Source organism: Homo sapiens, chromosome 10, assembly GCF_000001405.40.
Source record: "Homo sapiens chromosome 10, GRCh38.p14 Primary Assembly".
In the NCBI taxonomy this organism is placed as follows: Eukaryota; Metazoa; Chordata; class Mammalia; order Primates; family Hominidae; genus Homo; species Homo sapiens.
This window is the reverse complement of record NC_000010.11, coordinates 102571489-102592171: the sequence shown is the minus strand read 5'-3', so window position 1 is coordinate 102592171 and position 20683 is coordinate 102571489. Positions and strand designations below refer to the sequence as shown.

The window sequence follows — 20683 nt, the reverse complement described above, 5'->3', positions numbered from 1 at the left end:
AAGCCCTTCACCTTGGAGAAACAGACCGAAATTCCTATGTTGCTGAAATGGCACTCAGAAGGAAACATCGAACCTTGGAGAGCCTTTGAAATCTATCACCATTTTCCCACAGGCAGATGTAGGAATTCCTGAGGAACACTAGGCTTCAAGTAAATGGAGGTCTAAATAGTGCCTCCCACACCGTGGCAGAGACAACTCATGAGGATCCTCAGGCCATGTCTCTGAGATGTTCAGATTCTGCCAAGGGTAGCTGTTGCCATGAGGGCATAGCCTCCTCACACACAGGCTCACCACTGCACTTCAAGCAGGTACGTTACTTTAGAGAGAGTTTTGTTTAAGGCCACATAACCACAAGGGAAAACAACCCCACAGGGTACTAAGTCTCTCACCAGCTCTGACTCTCATCGTGGGTGCCAAGGTGCTCTATATGTCCAGCCTATGCATCCACAGGCTCCCTTCCATGTTTTGTCCTTACACAAATGGAAGCACACTATTCTGCAGATTTCACTTAATTATATATCTTAGACAGCACCTTTTTTTTTTTAATATGGAACACTTCACGAATTTGCATGTCATCCTTGCGCAGGGGCCATACTAATCTTCTCTGTATCGTTCCAATTTTAGTATATGTGCTGCTGAAGTGAGCACGAGATCACCTTTTTTTTTTTTTTTTGAGATGGAGTCTCGCTCTGTTGCCAGGCTGCAGTGCAGTGGCGCGATCTCTGCTCACTGCAACCTCCGCCTCCTGGGTTCAAGCGATTCTCCTGCCTCAGCCTCCTGAGTAGCTGGGATTACTGGCATGTGCCACCACACCTGGCTAATTTTTTGTATTTTTAGTAGAGGTGGGATTTCACGGTGTTAGCCAGGATGGCCTCGATCTCCTGACCTCGTGATCCGCCCTCCTCGGCCTCCCAAAGTGCGGGGATTACAAGTATGAGCCACAGCACCCAGCAGAGATCACTGCTTCTCAGCATATGGAGAGCTATCTCATTCTTTAAATGGCTGTTCCAGAGTTCACTATGGTCTGTCATTCACGATCTCGGAATCTCAACAGTTGAGGTATCTTTCTTCACTTTTTATCAATATTTAAGGTAAGGCAGAACACACACATACACACACAGACACACCTTTTCCATCCAAGATACGGCTTCAGTTATTGGTCCTAACCTCAATAGTGTTCATTCAGGCAGGAGAAGGAAGACTGCTTCATCTGAGATGTGATAATACAGGGGAGAGGAGAAGGCACAGCTTCAGGTAGAGCCAACTAGAAACCCCTAAATTTCCAAATTCCTGCTAGGCCCACTCTTCCCAGAATCTCTCTCCTTTTACGTAAGTGTGTTTCTACAAGCAACCTGCATGTTCTGCAAGCAAGAAACAATGCAACAGGTAAAAGGAATGAATAAGTAATTAACCCCCACCAACAACATACACAATACAAACAGTCCAGGTCCACCAGATGACTCCACTGGTAAATTCTGCCAAAGATTTAGAGAAGAATTAATATCAACTTTTCGCAAACTCTTCCAAAAAATAAAAGAAATAATTTCTAATTCATTCTATGAAACCAGTATTACCATGATATGAAAAGCAAAGGTAAGACAAGAAAAAAAACAACTATAGACCAATATACTTTATGCATATACAAACAAAAATCCTCAACAAAATACCAGCAAACAGAACCCAGCAACATATAAAAAGGGTTATACAGGCCTGGCGTGGTGGCTCATGCCTGTAATCCCAGCACTTTGGGAGGCCGAGGCACGCGGATCACGAGGTCAGGAGTTCAAGACTAGCCTGGCCAACAAAGTGAAACCCCGTCTCTACTAAAAATACAAAAAATTAGCAGGGCGTGGTAGAAGGCGCCTGTAATCCCAGCTACTCGGGAGGCTGAGGCAGGAGAATCACTTGAACCTGGGAGGTGGAGGTTGCAGTGAGCAGAGATTGCGCCACTGCACTCTAGCCTGGGTGACAGTGTGAGACTCTGTACTCTGTCTCAAAAAAAAAAAAAAAAGAAAAAAGAAAAAAAAAAAGAAAAAGTCGGGGGGGAGGTGGTTATACACAATGACCAAGTAGAATCTATCCCAGAAATGCAAGGTTAGTTATACACAAGAAAATCAATGTAATACAGATTATAAAAATTACTACATGATCATGTCAATAGACACAGAAAAAGCATTTGACAAGATCCTTTTCATGATAAAAAAAAAAACTCAGATTTGGAATAGATGGAACTTCCTCATCTTGATAAAGGACATTAACAAAAAACCCCACAGCTAACATCATACTTGATTAATGGTAAGTGACTGAACTAATTCCTTCTACGATCAGGAACACGACAGAGGTGCTTACTCTCACCACTTCTATTCAACACTGTATTAGAGTGCAAGCCAGGACAATTAGGCAAGAAAAAGAAGTACAAAATAAAAGGCCAGGTGTGGTGGCTCACGCCTCTAATCCCAGCACTTTGGGAGGTCGAGGCAGGTGGACCACCTGAGGTCAGGAGTCTGAGACCAGCCTGACCAATATGGTGAAACCCTGTCTCTACTAAAAATACAAAAATTAGCCAGGCGTGGTGGCGTGCACCTGTAGTCCCAGCTACTCGGGAGGCCAAGACAGGAGGATTGCTTGAATCTGGGAGGCAGAGGTTGCAGTGAGCCGAGATCATGCCACTGCATTCCAGCCTGGGTGACAGAGTAAGACACTGTCTCAAAAAAAAAAAAAAAAAAAAAGAAAGAAAGAAAATACTTCCAGATTGGAAAGGAAGAAGTAAAACTGCCTCTATTCATGGATAGCATGATATTGTATACAGAAAACCTTAAGGAATGTGCTAAAAATTACTAGAACTATTAAACAAGTTCAGCAAGGTTGTAGGGTACAAAAACAATATGCAAAAGTTATTTGTATTTGTATATACTAGCAAGGAACAATCCAAAAACAAAACTAAGGCCATGCATGGTGGCTCATGCCTCTAATCCCAGCACTTTCAGAGGCCGAGGTAGGAGGATTGCTTGAGCCTGGCAGTTAGAGACCAGCCTAGGCAACAGAGCAAGAACACCCATCTCCATACACACACACACACAAATTAGCCAGGCATGGTAGTGCACACCTGTAGCTGCAGCTATCTGGGAGGCTGGAGCAGGAGGATGGCTTGAGCCCAGAAGTTGAAGGTTGCAGTGAGCTATGATCACATCACTGCATTCCAGCCTGGGCAACAGAGTGAGACTGTGTCTCAAAAAAATAAATAAATAAATAAATAAACAAAATAAAAAATGAAAGTAAGAAAAACAATTCTTTCACAGTAGCATCAAATATAATACAATGCTTCATTTAACAAAGGAAATGAAAACTTATACTCTGAAAACTACAAAACATCATTGAAAGAAATTCGAGAAGACCTACATAAACGGAAAAATATCCAACATTCATGGATCGGAAGACTTAGTGTTGTTGAGATGGCAGTATCCCCAAATCCATCTACGGGTTCAGTGCAATCCCTATGAAAATGCCAGGTATGCTGTTTGCAGTAATTCACAAACGGATTCAAAACTTCACGTGGAAATGCAAGACACCCAGAATAGCCAAAACATTCTTAAAGAAGACGAGCAAAGTTGAAGGTCTTAATTTTCCTGATTTCAAAACTTGCTACAAAGATATAGTCACCAAGTCAGTGCGGCACTGGCATAAGGACAGACATTTGATCAATGTAATAGAATTGAGAGGCCTGAAATAAACTCTCACATTTGTGGGCATTAATTTACTTTTCTTTTTTTTTTTTTTTTGAGACAGAGTCTTGCTCTGTCGCCCAGGCTGGAGTGTAGTGGCACGATCTCGGCTCACTGCCAACTCCACCTCCCAGGTTCACGCCGTTCTCCTGCCTCAGCCTCCCGAGTAGCTGGAACTACAGGTGCCCGCCACCACGCCCAGCTAATTTTTTGTATTTTTAGTAGAGATGGGGTTTCACCATGTTAGCCAGGGTCTCGATCTCCTGACCTCGTGATCCGCGTGCCTCGGCCTCCCAAAGTGCTGGGATTACAGGCGTGAGCCACTGCGCCCAGCCTGTGGGCATTAATTTTCAACAAGGGGGCCAAAACAATTCGATAAAGGAAATAGTCTTTTCAGCAAATGCTGCTAAAAGAACTGGATACTCACACGCAAAAGGATAAAGTTGGAGCTCTTTCTTATATCACAAACAAAAGTCAATTCAAAATGGATCACAGACCTAACTGTAATAGCTAAAACTATAAAACTTTTAGAAGCAAACATTGGAGTAAATCTTTTGACCTTGGATTAGGCAAAGGTTTCTTCCATACAATATCAAAAGCATAAGTAACAAAGGATAGGTAAATTAGACTTCATCAAAATTAAAACCTTTTGTGCTGGCTGGGCGCAGTGGCTCATGCCTGTAATCCCAGCACTTTGGGAGGCTGAGGTGGGCAGATCACCTGAGGTCAGGAGTTCAAGACCAGCCTGGCCAACATGGTGAAACCCCGTCTCCACTAAAAATACAAAAAAATTTGCCGGGCGTAGTGGTGGGCACCTGTAATCCCAGCTACTCGGGAGGCTATGGCAGGAGAATTGCTTGAACCCGGGAGGAGGAGGTTGCAGTGAGCCGAGATCACGCTACTGCACTCCAGCCTGGGTGACAAGACCAAGACTTCGTCTCAAAACAAAACAAACTGTTTGTGCTGTAAACAATACCATCAAGAAAGTAAAAAGAAATGCAAAGCAAAATCACTTTTGAGATATCACTTTATACCCATTAGGGTGACTATTAATAAAAAAAAGAAAACAGAAAATAAGTGCACAAGTGTTGGTGAGGATGCAAAGAATTTGGAATCCGTGTGCATTGCTGGTGGAATATAAAATGAAGCAGCCGCTGTGCAAAACAGTACGGCGGTTCTGCAAAAAAAATTTAAACACAGAATTACCATATGATCCAGCAAGCTCACATCTGGGTATATAGCCAAAATAACTGAAAGCATGGTCTCAAACAGATATTTGTATACCTATGTTCACAGCAGCATTATTCACAATTGCCAGAAGGTGGAAACAACCCAAATGTCCATCAAGAGATGAATGGATTAACAAAATGTAGTATTTACACACAATGGAATACTATTCAGCCATAAAAAAGAAATTCTGGCAAATGCTAAAACATGGGTGAAACTTGATAATATTATGTTAAGTGAAATAAGCTAGACACAAAAGGACAAATACTGCATGATTTCACTTACATGAAGTACCTAGGGTAGGCAAATTTATAGAGACAGAAAATAGAATGGTGGTTGTCAGAGGCTGGGGGAGAAGCGAGTGGGGAGTTATTGCTTAGTGGGTACAGAGTTTAAGTTGGGGAAGATGAAAAACTTCTAGAGATGGATGGTGGTAATGTCTGCAAAACAATGTGAATGTACTTAATAATGTCACAGAACTGTACACTTAGAAATTGTTAAAATGATAAATTTTATGTTACATATATTTAATCACAATTTCTTTTTTTTTGAGACGGAGTCTCGCTCTGTCGCCCAGGCTAGAGTGCGGTGGCGTGATCTCGGCTCACTGCAAGCTCCGCCTCCCGAGTTCTGGCCATTCTCCTGCCTCAGCCTCCCGAGTAGCTGGGACTACAGGCACCCGCCACCATGCCCGGCTAATTTTTAGTATTTTTAGTAGAGACAGGGTTTCACCGTGTTAGCCAGGATGGTCTCGATCTCCTGACCTCATGATCCACCCGCCTCGGCCTCCCAAAGTGCTGGGATTACAGGCGTAAGCCACCGTGCCCAGGCTTAATCACATTTTAAAAGAAAAAACCCAGAGAATGAGAGAAAATATTTGCAAATCATATATCTAATAAGTATCCAGCATATATTAAGTATTTTGTATCCAGAATATATAAAGAGTTCTTACAACTCAATAATAAAAGATAAATAATTCAATTTAAAAATGAGCAAAGGATCTGAATATATTTCTCCAAAGAAGACATACAAATAGCTGGCCGGGCATGGTGGCTCACACCTGTAATCCCAGCACTTTGGGAGGCCAAGGCGGGCAGATCACCTGAGGTCAGAAGTTCAAGACCAGCCTGGCCAACATGGTGAAACCCCGTCTCTACTAAAAATACAAATATTAGCCAGGTGTGGTGGCATGAGCCTGTAATCCCAGCTACTAGGGAGGTTGAGACAGGAGAATTGTTTGAACCCGGAAGGCAGAGGTTGCAGTGAGCCAGGATCGTGCCATTGCCTTCCAGCCTGGGCAACAGAGTGAGACTCTGTCAAAAAAAAAAAAAAAAGATATACAAATAGCTAATAAGCACATAAAAAGATCCTCAATGCCATTAACCATCAGAGGAATGCAAATCAAAACCACAATGAGGCCAGTGCAGTGGCCTCCCAAAGTGTTGGGAGGCCAAGGTGAGAGGATCGCTTGAGGCCAGGAGTTTGAGACCAGCCAGGGCAACCATGGCAAAACCCCATCTCTATAAAAAACAAACAAACAAACAAAAAATTAGCTGGGTGTGGTGGCCCAAGCCTGTAGTCCCAGGTACTCGGGAGGTTGAAGTGGGAGGATTGTTTGAGCCCGGGATGTGGAGGCTGCAGTGAGCTTTGGTCGCACCATAGTATTCCAGCCTGGATGACAGAGTGAGACCCTGTCTCAAAAAACAAAAGAAAAGAAAACAGAAAACCCACAATGAGACACCACCACTTCATATCCACTAGAATGTTTAAAACAAAAAAGATGGCAATTACAAGTATTATCTGGCAATAAAAAGGAACAAAATACTAATATATACTATAACATGAACCTTAAAGACATTATGCTAAGTGAAAAAAGCCAGTCATAATAGACCTTATATGATTCCATCCATATGGAATGTCCAGAATAGGCAAATCTATGGAAACAGATAGTAGATTAGTGGTTGTCTAGGGCTGTGATGGTTGGAGGGAATAGGGAGTGACCAATATGAGGTTCTTTTTTTATGGTGATGGTTTCACAACTGTGGATTACATGGTATGTGAATCGTATGTCAATAAATCTGTTATTAAAAAAGAAAATATAGCAGGCAAAAGGAAGGAATCTTGAGGCACAGGCAAAGTAGGGGAAGCAAGGCCAAGCCTTTAAATTCCTTGTTCCCACCACCCCAGGCACAGCAGCCTGGCCTGGGAGAAACCTGACCCATAATGCTGAGACATCACAGCACTGTGTATGTCTACATGACCTGAACAATCACCTACTAACATGTTCTTTTCTACAAATGAGAAAAGGATGCTTGAGATTGCCCACAGTCTCACAGTACGTCAGTGATGATGGGCATGGCCCAACACTTTCCAAACTTTGGGCTCATCCACAACACCCATCAGCATGTTTGCCATATCTGTGCACCATCTGTACCATTACTTACCTGTATTTTTCCCCCTAAAATTGACTTGCCTTTTTTTTTTAACCTAAACAAACTTACTCTGAAAAGGCAACTTCATATCACTATACTAAATAAGGAAAATTAATGGCAAATTAGCGTTGCTTACCTCAAGTGGTAACTTCAGGATAATATAACAAAATGTTATTAATTTCTAACTGATATTGTTGCCTACCTAAAATTGTTTAAAAAATGAAATAAACAAGGGTCAAAGAGCTGTTCAAGGTTTAAAGAGTCATATAGAGCTGAGACAAAATCACCAAGACTGAGAGAGAACAAACTGGGCCGGGCATGGTGGCTCATGCCTGTAATCCTAGCATTTTGGGAGGCCCAGTGAGAGGATCTCTTGAGCCCAGGAGTTCAAAACCAGCCTGGGCAACATAGTAAGACCCCATCTTAAATTAAAAAAAAGACAAAGAGAACCAAAGAGAGAAAAGTGGCTTCACTATTCATGCTACCAGTTACCACTCTTGTGCAGTTACCAGCTGAAATCGCCTGCTGGTTTTGGCAAACCCTGGCTTAGTGGTGAACTTCGGAGTTGGGAAGGCCCTGTTTCTATTTGCCTCCATCCCTAACTGGATGTGACCCTGGGCAACTTGCCCAAACACAGTATCTAAGCCTGTTAACAGGAAATAGCGTGCCTACTCAATATGCTTTCTACTGCAGTATGTTATTACTCGTGTACTGGAATACAGTACAGATACTCTCACCCAAGTCACCAGAAAACAGGACTGGCCACAGAGCTTGTCGCTACCAGCAAGTGCCCAGTAGGTGGCACCATTGCTCCTGGTTTAAGAAACAGATGGGCCAGTTCCCTGGAGCTCTGCATCCCTATCTGATGTCTAGTCTGTAGAAACATACCCCAAACCGAACATCACACACCAGGGCCTGTTGTGGGGTGGGGAGAGGGGGGAGGGATAGCATTAGGAGATATACCTAATGTTAAATGACGAGTTAATCGGTGCAGCACACCAACATGGCACATGTATACATATGCAACAAACCTGCACGTTGTGCACATGTACCCTAAAACTTAAAGTACAATTAAAAAAAAAGAAAAAAGAAAAAGAAACATACCCCAAACCGGGTGGGGATTTATTTAGGCTGGAAACAGGGAAAAGGCTGGAAAGATTTGGAGCCATGACCTTTGACCTTTTATTAACCAGAATTAACATGATTTTAAAATACTGTGCAAACCCAAACTGTTTGAACCAGAATGACCAAAAAGCACTTTGTGCAGGCTTAATAACTTGGGAAGAGGCTTAATTTAGGCAGCTGGGAAAGGGAGACTCTAAGGCAAGAAAAGGGAGTCGGGCCCAGGTGTTGCTCTAGGATCAACACGTTCCACCCTGAGCATGTGTGATCAGGCTTTGGCCAAAGGTACTCCTGAGTTAAAGTGGGGAGCAGAAAGTGCAACTTCCATCAGAAATGCTTGGAGAGCAGGACACTAACAGAAACTTCTAGTGAGGGGCAGGGTCTTCCGCAGCTCTGCCTGATGAAGGAACTAGACTTATGAGCTCTTCTGTGGACAAGAAATGGTCTTTCTTAACAATGAAAGAGCCCTGGTCACAGTTTTCAAGCATGGGACAAAGCCACAATGAGTTCATTCTTGAGTCCGGTCTGGTCTTTATGCCCTGGATGCTCAGACCCATTCTGTTGGAGCCACTGTGGGGTCTCAGCACTCAGGCCCCTGCGCCCACCCTGGGAAGCTCTTGGCCCCTTCAGAGGGGCTTTCAAATGCTAATAATGTCTCAGTTAGAGGCCCAGCTGTTCAGTCCAGCGGTTACAGGAGCTGGCTTCCTCTCTCTTGCTCCCCAAGGTATCCTCATTGAAAAGTCAGGGTGAAAATCCCAGAGACCTCCACTTAAACCACACAGCAGAGGCTCCCCCGCACCCAGTGTCTGAAAGAACGTCGCCATTCCAGGTAAGGGCTGGGTAGACACTTTCTATTCCCTTCCCTCCTTGGAGCTTTGCCCCCAGGTACCAGGAGAAACCTCCCTCAGCTACCCGACTTTTATGTTGTTTGGCAAATTCACTGGAAGGGAAATACCACTCCAGGATAGCAAAAGGAGTCTCTCCCCTCCCCGCCAAAAATGCTAGTTACAGTTCTACACCTTGCTCACTTGGGAGAAAGATTTCATTCCTCCACGTCTCATTCCCCATTAACAAACAACTCCTGGGCAAGAACTCTGAAAACGTGGGGGGTGCTGAACAGGCGCACAGAATCCTACTGGCTCCTCCAATTGGCCATCACCCCACCCCCACCTCCCTGACATCCAGCTTCAGTTATGGTGGTTTGAAGTTGGACTGTCCCGGATATAATAAGTTAGCAAAATCTAGGGAGAGGGGTTGCAGAAGAAAACAGCTATTGTTTGTAAAATAGTGCTGCCTTTGAAACATAGAAGCAAATACATTCCTTGAGTTCTTACAAATACATTCTTCAAGAGTTCTTAATTCATCCTAACTCTAGACAGTGCCAGCCTGCCTCCCTTCTGTGCAAAAGTACAGGCCCCGTGATGTTCTACATAATAGCCTGGAAACTAACACCCCAACCCAGGGTCAGAATTAACATGCTTGGTCTGTGGAGCGGGGACTAATGTTCCCTTTGGGAGCCCAGGAGCGTGAAGCTTGGCGCTGTGAAAGCCAAATGCCCCTTTTCTCCAGGTGCTCTTCTGCGTGCTCTGAGATTATTCCGTGCTTTCCAGGGACAGAGAACAAGGGCAGGAAACGCAGCTGGACTGTGCCAGGTGTCACAGGAGTGGCTAGTCTGCAAGAGGTGTTTTTGAGAGAGCAGGAAAATGGGAGGTGACCCAAAGCAGGCTGGGAGACTCAGGTCTGTCAACTTGGAGGTCAAATATTTGACAATGGCACAGCCATCATAATCTCTCAAGAAAAAATCTCCACTCCTCTTGCATTTCTGGTGTTCACAAATCATTCTGATAACCAGGGCTTAAGTGTCTTCTGTGAACACCCGGAGCTGGTCCTAGGGGGGCTTAGCAGTTCTTTCCCAAAATGTCAGATGTGCCAGACATGTCCCCAGTAACACAGACTGCTGAGGAGGAAAGGTTCAGTTAGCCTATGCCCCATATCTGGAAGTCCCAGGATGAAGCCGACACCTGTGGGGAGACTGGCAACTGCCTAACCCGCCCTCCTTCCTGAGAAGGCTCAAGCTGCTACTGCTGCGGCCATGGTGGACTGCGCAGCGGAGCTGGGCCCAGAGGAGGCTTCCTCTGAGATTGGAAGACAGCTCCTTCTCAAGTCAACAGAAGGCCCACGAGCAGAAATATATTTACGGGGGCAGAACTACAGGTCCACACAGGCCTGGGAGCTTCATGACTCCCCAGTGAGAGGAGGAGAAAATCTGGAGTTTTTGTTGAACAAAACATCTCTGGCTGAGGCAGTGAAGGAAATAAAGTTCAAAGTTAGTCCTGTTGGCTTCTGCCCAGCCCAGATGCTCCTAATGGGGGCCACTCAGTCTGCCTACTGCCCCCACTGGATCTCTCTGTAAGCCCATACTAATTTCTAAAACCCATGCCTAATTTCTTCTTCTTCTTTTTTTTTTTTTTTTTTTTTTTTTTTTTTTGGAGACAGAGTCTCTCTCTGTCGCCCAGGCTGGAGTGCAATGACACAATCTCGGCTCACTGCAACCTCCACTTCCTGGGTTCAAGTGATTCTCGTGCCTCAGCCTCTCAAGTAGCTGGGACCACAGGTACACACCACCATGCCCAGCTAATTTTTGTATTTAGTAGAGATGGAGTTTTGCCATGTTGGCCAGGCTAGTCTTGAACTCCTGACCTCAAGTGATCCACCTGTCTCGGCCTCCCAGAGTGCTGGGATTACAGGTGTGAGCCACCACGCCCAGCCCAAGCCTAATTTCTAGACCAGAGAGGAGAATAGGGATGTGTGTGCCTAGTCTATTGCCAGAAATGAAAAGCCTACAAAGTTTTAGGCCACAGGGTGTAGCACAGCCACAAATGACATTTCTGGAGCCCTTAGCACACCCGCACAATGCTACCCTCATTTTAGGGAGGAGTAACCCCAGGCACTGTACAGAGGGCACTGCCCTCAGGAAGACACAGAGCCTCCTCCAGGCAAATTCTCCCTCAACCTAACAGTACCCACCCACCAAAGGAAGGCAGCAGATCCTCTTCTTGTCTGATCAACACTGACTTTTCCTGGTAACAGCAACTCTCCTTCCTCCAGGAATCCAAATAAAGCTGAGAGTGAGCACCTCCCTCCACTTCCCTGCCTACCCGGCTCCATACCCCCTCCCCAAGCCAAAGAACCTTACAGCAGAGTAATGACGCAAGACCCACACTAAGAACTAGGACAGAAACCTTGCAGCAGAGTCTTGAGACAAGGCCCACACTAGGAACTGGGACAGAAATTGAATACAATGATGTATAAACAGCGTAGGAGCAAAAAAAATAAACACATCCTGCGTAATTCCCCTTTAACAGTGGACCTCCTGCAAGGAGAGGAAAAGATGGGATACTCCCCAGCTCAGAAGCTACAATTTGTTACAAACCAACAGAATTTCGCACCCCTGCCTTTCTCCCAACACAGTGCACAGCAGACAGATGCTCCAAAGGAAGGATAATCCCAGGAACATGGCTGACTGCTCAACAGCCCCTCTGCAGGGCTTCCAATCAAACTCCAAAGAAGGGGAAAGACAGAAACTCTCTTTAAGAAAGAAAAAACAACAAAGCAAACAAACTGGGGGCGGGGGGGGGGTGCGGGGGAGGAGACCCAAAACAGATTCTCTGTACATGTGGCTGAGGAGCTCTTGGGGCTAGAAGGTAAAGTTCTTCATAGCTGGTCAAATGGCGCAGATGGTGACCAGTTGTAGAGTTTCCCAACTTGGTCATGTGGTAGAAGCAAGAATTAACCCCTACCCTCACCCACCTACCTTTTCAAAGTTCTGGATGCAGTTTTATCACTTGAAAAGTTCATTTGAGTGTTTGGTTTGAGAGCTTCCCTCAGCTAGCTCTGTCTGATATTAATTTGGCTAAATGTGGTTGCAAGACATGGAGACGGGAAATGAATACGCAGTCCCACTTGATTAAAGAAGACTGAGAGAAGACATATTTGCTCTTGCAAAACTGAAAGGAAATGTAAAGGCTATTCCTTCCAGGTTTTGCCTGGAATCAAAGGAATCGCACAGCTAGCCAAAGGAGACTCAAAACTGCTTCCCTATGCATTTTCTCCAGAACCGCCCGCTCTTCAGCTTCCTTCCTGTCCCTCAAAGCCGCAATCATAAAGGCAAACAGTGAAGTGTAAGGAAAATCCCTTTATAAGCAGAGATGCTCAGTAAACTGGAATACAAGTCACAGCAGGGGAGGTGGGAGGCTGGCGGGCTGCCAGAGACCCTGCAGGTTCTCACCCCAAAGCGAGTGTAGGGGGCTGCAAACCTTTCAGAACTGGACTGATGCAGTTTCGCTAGCTAGAGATAGACTGTGGACCTGACACTCACCCTGTGCCCACATGGGCAGGGCACACAGCAGACAGCCTCATTCTCCCCCCAATGAGGGTGAGGACCCTGACTGCCCACAGAGCTCAGGAGGGTTCACCTGGCCACAGCTTGTAGCTGTCACTAGTCAAACCTCATTTACTCACCCATATATGCTATGCCCACCTGTAAAGTACACAGGTCCTTGCTTACCCCTTAGAGAGAGCCTGAAGTCCTAATCTAGCAGATGCCTTCACTTTTCTTTTTAAGCAGCTCCATCTGTTTAGACACCTGTCAGCATGAGAAGGCAGAATCTTCTGCCCACAAGCTTGTAACTGAGCAAGACCTGCCCTTGTTCCTCTCTCCTTCACCAGCACGAGGGCCTGCCACCTACACACAAGGCAGAGCCCAAGCCTCTTTGCTCTTTTTTTTTTTTCTCCCTTTGAGACAGAGTCTCACTCTGTTGCCCAAACTGGAGTGCAGTGGTGCCATCTCAGCTCACTGCAACCTCTGCCTCCCAGGTTCAGGCAAGTCTCGTGCCTCAGCCTCCCGAGCAGCTGGGATTACAGGCGCGCACCATCATGTCCATCTAATTTTTTTTTTTTTTTGAAACGGAGTCTTGCTCTGTCGCCAGGCTGGAGTGCGGTGACATGATCTCAGCTCACGGCAACCTCTGCCTCACAGGTCCAAGCAGTTCTCCTGCCTCAGCCTACCGAGTACCTGGGACTATAGGCACGCGCCACCATGACCAGCTAATGTTTGTACTTTTAGTACAGACAGGGTTTCACCATGTTGGCCAGGATGTTCTCAATCTCTTGACCTTATGATCCACCCGCCTCAGCCTCCCAAAGTGCTGGGGTTACAGGTGCCACTGCACCCAGACTAATTTTTGTATTTTTAGTAGAGATGGGGTTTCACCATGTTGGCCAGGCTGGTCTCGAACTCCTGACTTCAAGTGATCCACCCACCTCGGCCTCCCAAAGTTCTGGAATTACAGGCATGAGCCATCATGCCTGGCCCCAAGCCTCTTTGTTCTTTGTTTTTTGTTTTTGTTTTTTTTTTTGAGACGGAGTCTCGCTTTGTCGCCCAGGCTGGAGTGCAGTGGCGCGATCCCGAGTAGCTGGGATTACAAGCGCCCACCACCACGCCCAGCTAATTTTTTTGTATTTTTAGTAGAGACGGGGTTTCACCATGTTAGCCAGGATGGTCTCGATCTCCTGACCTCGTGATTCACCCGCCTCGGCCTCCCAAAGTACTGGGATTACAGGCATGAGCCACCAGCCTCTTTGTTCTTAAAGCCAAAGGGACTAAGGAGGTTTTAAACTCGTAGTCCTGGCCAGGCACGGTGGCTCACGCCTGTAATCCCAGCACTTTGGGAGGCCGAGGCGGGCAGATCACGAGGTCAGGAGATGGAGACCATCCTGGCTAACATGGTGAAACCCCATCTCTACTAAAAATACAAAAAAATTAGCCGGGCATGGTGGTGGGCACCTGTAGTCCCAGCTACTCAGGAGGCTCAAACAGGAGAATGGCGTGAATCCGGGAGGCGGAGCTTGCAGTGAGCCGGGATCGTGCCACTGCACTCCAGCCTGGGCAACAGAGCGAGACTACGTCTCAAAAAAAAAAAAAAAACAACTCGTAGTCCTATATACATTTCAACCAAAGAATGCCAGGAGGGCTGGGTGCAGTGGCTCACGCCTGTAATCCTAGCACTTTGGGAGGCTGAGGTAGGTGGATCACTTGAGCACAGGAGTTTGATACCATCCTTGGCAACATGGCAAAACCCTGCCTCTGCAAAAAATACAAAATTTAGCCAGGTGTGGTGGCACATGCCTGTGGTCCCAGAGGCTGAAGTGGGAGGATCACTTAAGCCCTGGGAGAGGGAGGCTGCAGTGACCCATGATCACACCACTGCACTCCTGGGTGACAGAGTAAGACGTGAGACTCCATTTCCAAAAAAAAAGAAACAAGAAAAAAAAATCCCAGGAAATCCTTTGAAGCTTTAAAATCCAAGACTAGCCTGGCCAACATGGTGAAACCCTGTCTCTACTAAAAATACAAAAATTAGCTTGGCGTGTTAGTGGACGCCTATAATGCCAGCTACTCAGGAGGCTGAGGCAGGAGAATCGTTTGAACCTGGGAGGCGGAGGTTGCAGTGAGCCAAGATGGTGCCACTGCACTCCAGACTGGGCAACAGGGTGAGACTCCATCTCAAAAAAAAAAAAAAAAGAAAAGAAAAAATCCAGGACATGCTTCTACTCCTCCCATCTTCTTCCTGAAGAGACCAGTTAAATCAGGAATGAAAACCCATTTAGACTGGGTACAGTGATTCACACCTGCAATCCCACAGCTGAGGCAGGAAGGTCGCTTCAGACCAGGAGTTCAAGACCAGCCTGGGCAACACAGTGAGACCCTGTCTCTACAAAAAAATTTAAAAATTAGTCAGGCATGGTGGTGCACACTTGTAGTTCCACAGCTACTTGGGAGGCTGAGGCTTGAGGATCATTTGAGCCAAAGCATTCCAGGTTACAGTGAGCTATAATTGTACCATTGCACTCCAACCTGGGCAACAGAGAAAGACCCTGTCACTGCAAAACAAAACAAAACATTTAGTTGCCATGGACCTATAAACTAGTATGGTCACTTTGGAGGACCAAATGGCAGAATCTATTAATATAAAAGGTAACTTCCCTTTGACCCAATCATTCTACTTATAAATATCTACCCTAGAGCAAAACATGTCACAAGGAGGAATGAATAAGGATGGTCACTGCATCTTTGTACTGTTTGTAATACTGCAAAAATGGCAACAACCTAAAGGTGCATCACCAGGGGAATAGTTAAATTATGGTTTATTCATACAATAAAATCACAGACAACAGTAAAAAAAATTAAATAAAGATCTTCAAGACATACCGTCAACTGAAAAATCCAATTGTGAAGGGCAGTACAGTTTCATTTACATTAAAGAAAGAAAAAAAAACATAGAAACCCAAACCATTTCATAGGTACCCAGAAGAAGGTGAATACATAGAAAAAAATCTGGCAAGCTGCAAGGACGCACACCAAATGGATAAAGAGGGTTTCTTTAGCGAGGGCCCTGAGATTGGGTGGGGTGGTCACAGAGAACTTTGACTTTATCTGTATAGTCTAAGTTTTTAACATCTGAGGTCAGTTGCAGTACCTCATGCCTGTAATCCCAGCACTTTGGGAGGCTGAGGTGGGTGGATCACTTCAGTCCAGAAGTTCAAGACCAGCCTGGACAACATACCAAGACCCCATCTCTACAAAAAAAAAAAAACACAGAAAAATTAGCGGGGTATGGTGGCATGTGCCAGTAGACCCAGCCACTCAGAGGCTAAGGTGGGAGGATCACTTGAGCCCGGGAGGTTGAGGCTGCAGTGAGCCAAGATCACGCCTCTGCACTCCAGCCTGGCCAACAGAGACCCCGTTTCCAAAAAAAAATCTGAAATTTATTTATGTATTATCTATATACTTAATGTTGGAAAGATGATCCTCCTCCTTGACCCCTCTGCTATGTGGCACCAGCAGCCATCACACTGGCTACTGTGGCATCACTCCAAATGCAGTGGCACTAATCTGGACATGCCAGGAAGCTAGGTGGTATGATTTGAATGTCTGCCTCCTTCAAAAGGTATGTTGAAACTCAGTCTCCAATCTAGCAGTATTGAGAGGTGGGGCCTTTAAGAGGTGATTGGGTCATGTGGGCCCTGCCCTCATATATAGATTAATAAGTTAATGGATTATCACAGAGGTGGACAATGGGGGTAGAAACTGGTGGGTTTATCAGAATAGAGACCTGAGCTAGCAAGTTCAGCCTCCTTGCCATGTGATGTCCCTGGGACTCTGCAGGGACTCCTCACCAGCAAGAAGGCCTTCATCAGATGGGGCCCTTTAACCTTGGACTTCTCAGCCTCCATAACTGTAAGAAATAAATTCCTTTTCTTTATAAATTAGCAGTTTCAGATATTCTGTTATAAGCAGCAGAAAATGGACTAGAACATTAGGAGCCATCCTTGGCTGGCAACTAAAATGGCACCACTGGCATTTTCAACCAGGCTAGCTTTTTAAAAAAATTTTGAGACAAGGTCTTGCTCTGTTTCCCAGGCTGGAGTGTGGTGGCACCATTATGGCTCACTGTAGCCTTAACCTCCTAGGCTCAAGCAATCCTTCCACCTCAGCTTCCCGAGTAGCTAAGACTACAGGCACACCACCATGCCTAATTTTTTTTTTTTTTTGAGACAGAGTCTTGCTCTGTCACCCAGGCTGGAGTGCAGTGGCTCAATCTCAGCTCACTGCAACCTCCGCCTCCCGGGTTCAAGTGATTCTCCTGCCTCAGCCTCCTGAGTAGCTGGGACTACAGGTGCATGCCACCATGCCGGGCTAATTTTTTGTATTTTTAGTACAGACAGGGTTTCACCATATTGGCTAGGCTGGTCTTGAACTCCTGACCTCATGATCCGCCTGCCTTGGCCTCCCAAAGTGCTGGGATTACAGGAGCCACTGTGCCCGGCCTGTTTCAAGGCTTTTTTAGTGACGAAGATAAAATACATTTTTTTTAAAAGAAAGAGAAAACACATCTTTTGTTCATCTTGCTAATTAGAATCCAAATTTAAGAATATAACATTTTTACTTATTTGATTTTATATTTGTATCTTTTATTTATTTTATTACTGTTTTAGAGACAAGGTCTCACTGTGTCACTCAGGCTAGAGTGTAGTGGCACAATTACAGCTCACTGCAGGCTCAAATTCCTGGGCTCAAGCAATCCTCTCGTCTTAGCCTCTCAAACAGCTGGCACTACAAATGTGAGCCACAACGCCTGGCCATATATTTGTATCTTTCTAATCTTATGCTGAACATCTTGCTTTCTAACATAATTACTTATTTGCTTTATCCTATTATATCCATATACTAGTTTTAGGTTAAAGTCAATATTTTTATTAACAACATGATTACTGAAAACAGTTTTTTCTGTCTTTGTGTATATATTAGGGATATACAGACAAATTACTATAGTTTAAGATCTCTGTATATTGTTTTGACACCAATTTGGTATGCTGTGAATTTCACTTGTTTTATTTTGCTTCTGAGTTTTAGGAAATGTGGCAGACAGACTCTAAGGTGCCCCCATGGTCCCCAATCCCCTTGGTACTCAAGCCCTGTCTAATACTTTCCCCCAAGTGTGGGCGAGACCTATAACTTGCTTCTTGCTAACAGAATATGGCAAAAGTAAAGATATTTTAAAGATGTAAAGTAACATCCCAAATCATTTATTAATTTTTTTTTCAGTTTTAGTTGTAGTAAAATACATCAACATAAAATTCACCAATTTAGCCATTTTTAAGTGGCATTAAGTACATTCATATTGTTGTGCAACCATAAGAAGCTTCCATTTCCAGGACTTTTTTTCATCTTCCCCAACTGAAACTCTATACAGTAAACAGTAACTCCCCATTCCACTGCTTCCAACCCCTGGAAACCAACATTTTGCCTTCTGTCTCTATGAACCTAACTACTCTAAGTACCTTATGTAAGTGGAATCATACAATATTTGTCTTTTTGTGTCTGGCTTATTTCACTTGCCATAATGTCTCCTGGGTTCATCCATGTTGTAGCCTGCAGCATGTGGCAGAATTTCCTTCCTTTTATTAAGGCTGAGTAATATTCCATTATATGTATATACCATACTTTGTTTACCCATTCATCTGTTGATGGACACTTGAGTTACTTCCACTTTTTGGATGCTATGAAAACTGGTGCACAAATATCTGTTCAAGTCCCTGCTTTCAATTCTTTTGGACACATACCCAGAGGTGAGATTGCTGGATCATACAGTAATTCCATTTTGAACTTTCTGAAGAAGCACCAGACCATTTTCCACAGCAGCTGCACCATTTTACATTCCTATCAACAGTGTACAAGGGTGCCAATTTCTTCACATGCTTGCTAACATACTATTTTCTGTTTTGTTTTGTTTTTTCTTTTTTTGATAGTAGCCATTCTAACGGCTGTGAGGCCAAAGTAGATGATTTTGTGTTAATTAAAATGGAGGCCCTTTTCACAAGACGGTGCCGAAAGCAAAGAAGGAAGCTCCTGCTCCTCCTAAAGCCGAAGCCAAAGCAAAGGCTTTGAAGGCCAAGAAGGCAGTGTTGAAAGGTGTCCACAGCCACAAAAAAAAGAAGATCCGCACGTCACCTACCTTCCAGCGGCCCAAGACACTGCGATTCTGGAGGCAGCCCAAGTACCCTCAGAAGACCAACCCCGGAGAACAAGCTTGACCACTATGCTATCATCAAGTTTCCACTGACCACTGAGTCTGCCATGAAGAAGATAGAAGACAACAACACACTTGTGTTCACTGTGGATGTTAAAGCCAACAAGCACCAGATCAAATAGGCTGTGAAGAAGCTCTATGACACTGATGTGACCAAGGTCAACACCCTGATTCAGCGTGATGGAGAGAAGAAGGCATATGTTGGACTGGCTCCTGATTACGATGCTTTGGATGTTGCCAACAAAATTGGGATCATTTAAACTGAGTCCAGCTGGGTAATTCTAAATATATGTATATCTTTTCACCATAACAACAACAAAAAAAAGGCTGGGCATGGTGGCTCACTCACACCTGTAATCTCAGCAGTTTGGGAGGCCAAGGAGGGTGGATCACGAGGTCAGGGGTTCAAGATCAGCCTGGGCAAGATGGCAAAACCCCATCTGTACTAAAAATACAAAAAGTAGCCGGGTGTGGTGGCAGGTGCCTGTAATCCCAGCTACTCAGGAGGCTGGGGCAGGAGAATTGCTTGAACCCGGGTGGCAGAGGTTGTAGTGAGCCAAGATCGCGCCACTACACTCCAACCTGGGCAATAGAGTGAGACTCTGTCTCAAAAAAAAAAAAAAAGAAAGAAAAAGGGGAGAGGCCGGTCACGGTGGCTCACACCTGTAATCCCAGCACTTTGGGAGGCCGAGGCAGACGGATCACCTGAGGTCAGGAGTTCCAGACCAGCCTGACCAACATGATGAAACCCGTCCTCTACTAAAATTACAAAAAAAAAAAAAAATTATCCAGGCGTGGTGGCCGGTGCCTGTAATCCCAGCTACTCGGGAGGCTGAGGCAGGAGAATGGCTTGAACCTGGGAGGCGGAGTTTGCAATGAGCCAAGATCATATCATTGCACTCCAGCCTGGGCAACAAGAGTGAAACTCCATCTCAGAAAAAAAGAGATTCTCCTGGGTGGACTTGACTGAAACAGGTAAAAGCCCTTTAAAAGGGAACTGTACCCCTACACAAACGTCAGACTCTTCCTCCATTGCTGCTTTAAAGAAGCAAGCTGCCTTGAATCCTAAAGTTGCAAGGAAAGGAATTCTGTCAACAACCTGACGGAACTTGGAAGCATATTCTTCTCCAGGGGAGCCTCAAATAAGAATGCAGCCTGTATATGAACAAGGAAAAAAAAGAAAAGAAAAGAATGCAGCATGGTAAACACCTTAATTGTAGCCTTGCAAGGCCCTGGCCAGAGGACCTAGAGATAAGCTGTGTCCAAACTTGAGACACACAGAAATTGGGTTTTAAGCCACTAATTTTTTGTTGTTGTTTTGTTTTTTGAAACAGAGTCTTGCTCTGTCGCCCAGGCTAGAGTGCAGTGGCGCAATCTTGACTCACTGCAACCTCTGTCTCCCAGGTTCAAATGATTCTCCTGCCTTAGTCTCCCAAGTAGCTGGAATTACAGGTGTGCACCACCATGCCTGGCTAATTTTTTGTTTGTTTGTTTGTTTTGTTTGTTTGTTTTTTAGTAGAGACAGGGT

General features: G+C 45.0%; 1 protein-coding gene and 2 pseudogenes across 12 annotated transcripts in view; 1 reads left to right on the top strand and 2 right to left on the bottom strand.

The window, feature by feature from the left end:
- Positions 1 to 20683, bottom strand: part of SUFU (SUFU negative regulator of hedgehog signaling) — a 130717-nt gene that overhangs the window by 41364 nt on the left and 68670 nt on the right. The window lies entirely within an intron of this gene.
- On the bottom strand, positions 545 to 648 carry RNU6-43P (RNA, U6 small nuclear 43, pseudogene; annotated as a pseudogene).
- RPL23AP58 (ribosomal protein L23a pseudogene 58) lies at positions 18928 to 19535 on the top strand (annotated as a pseudogene).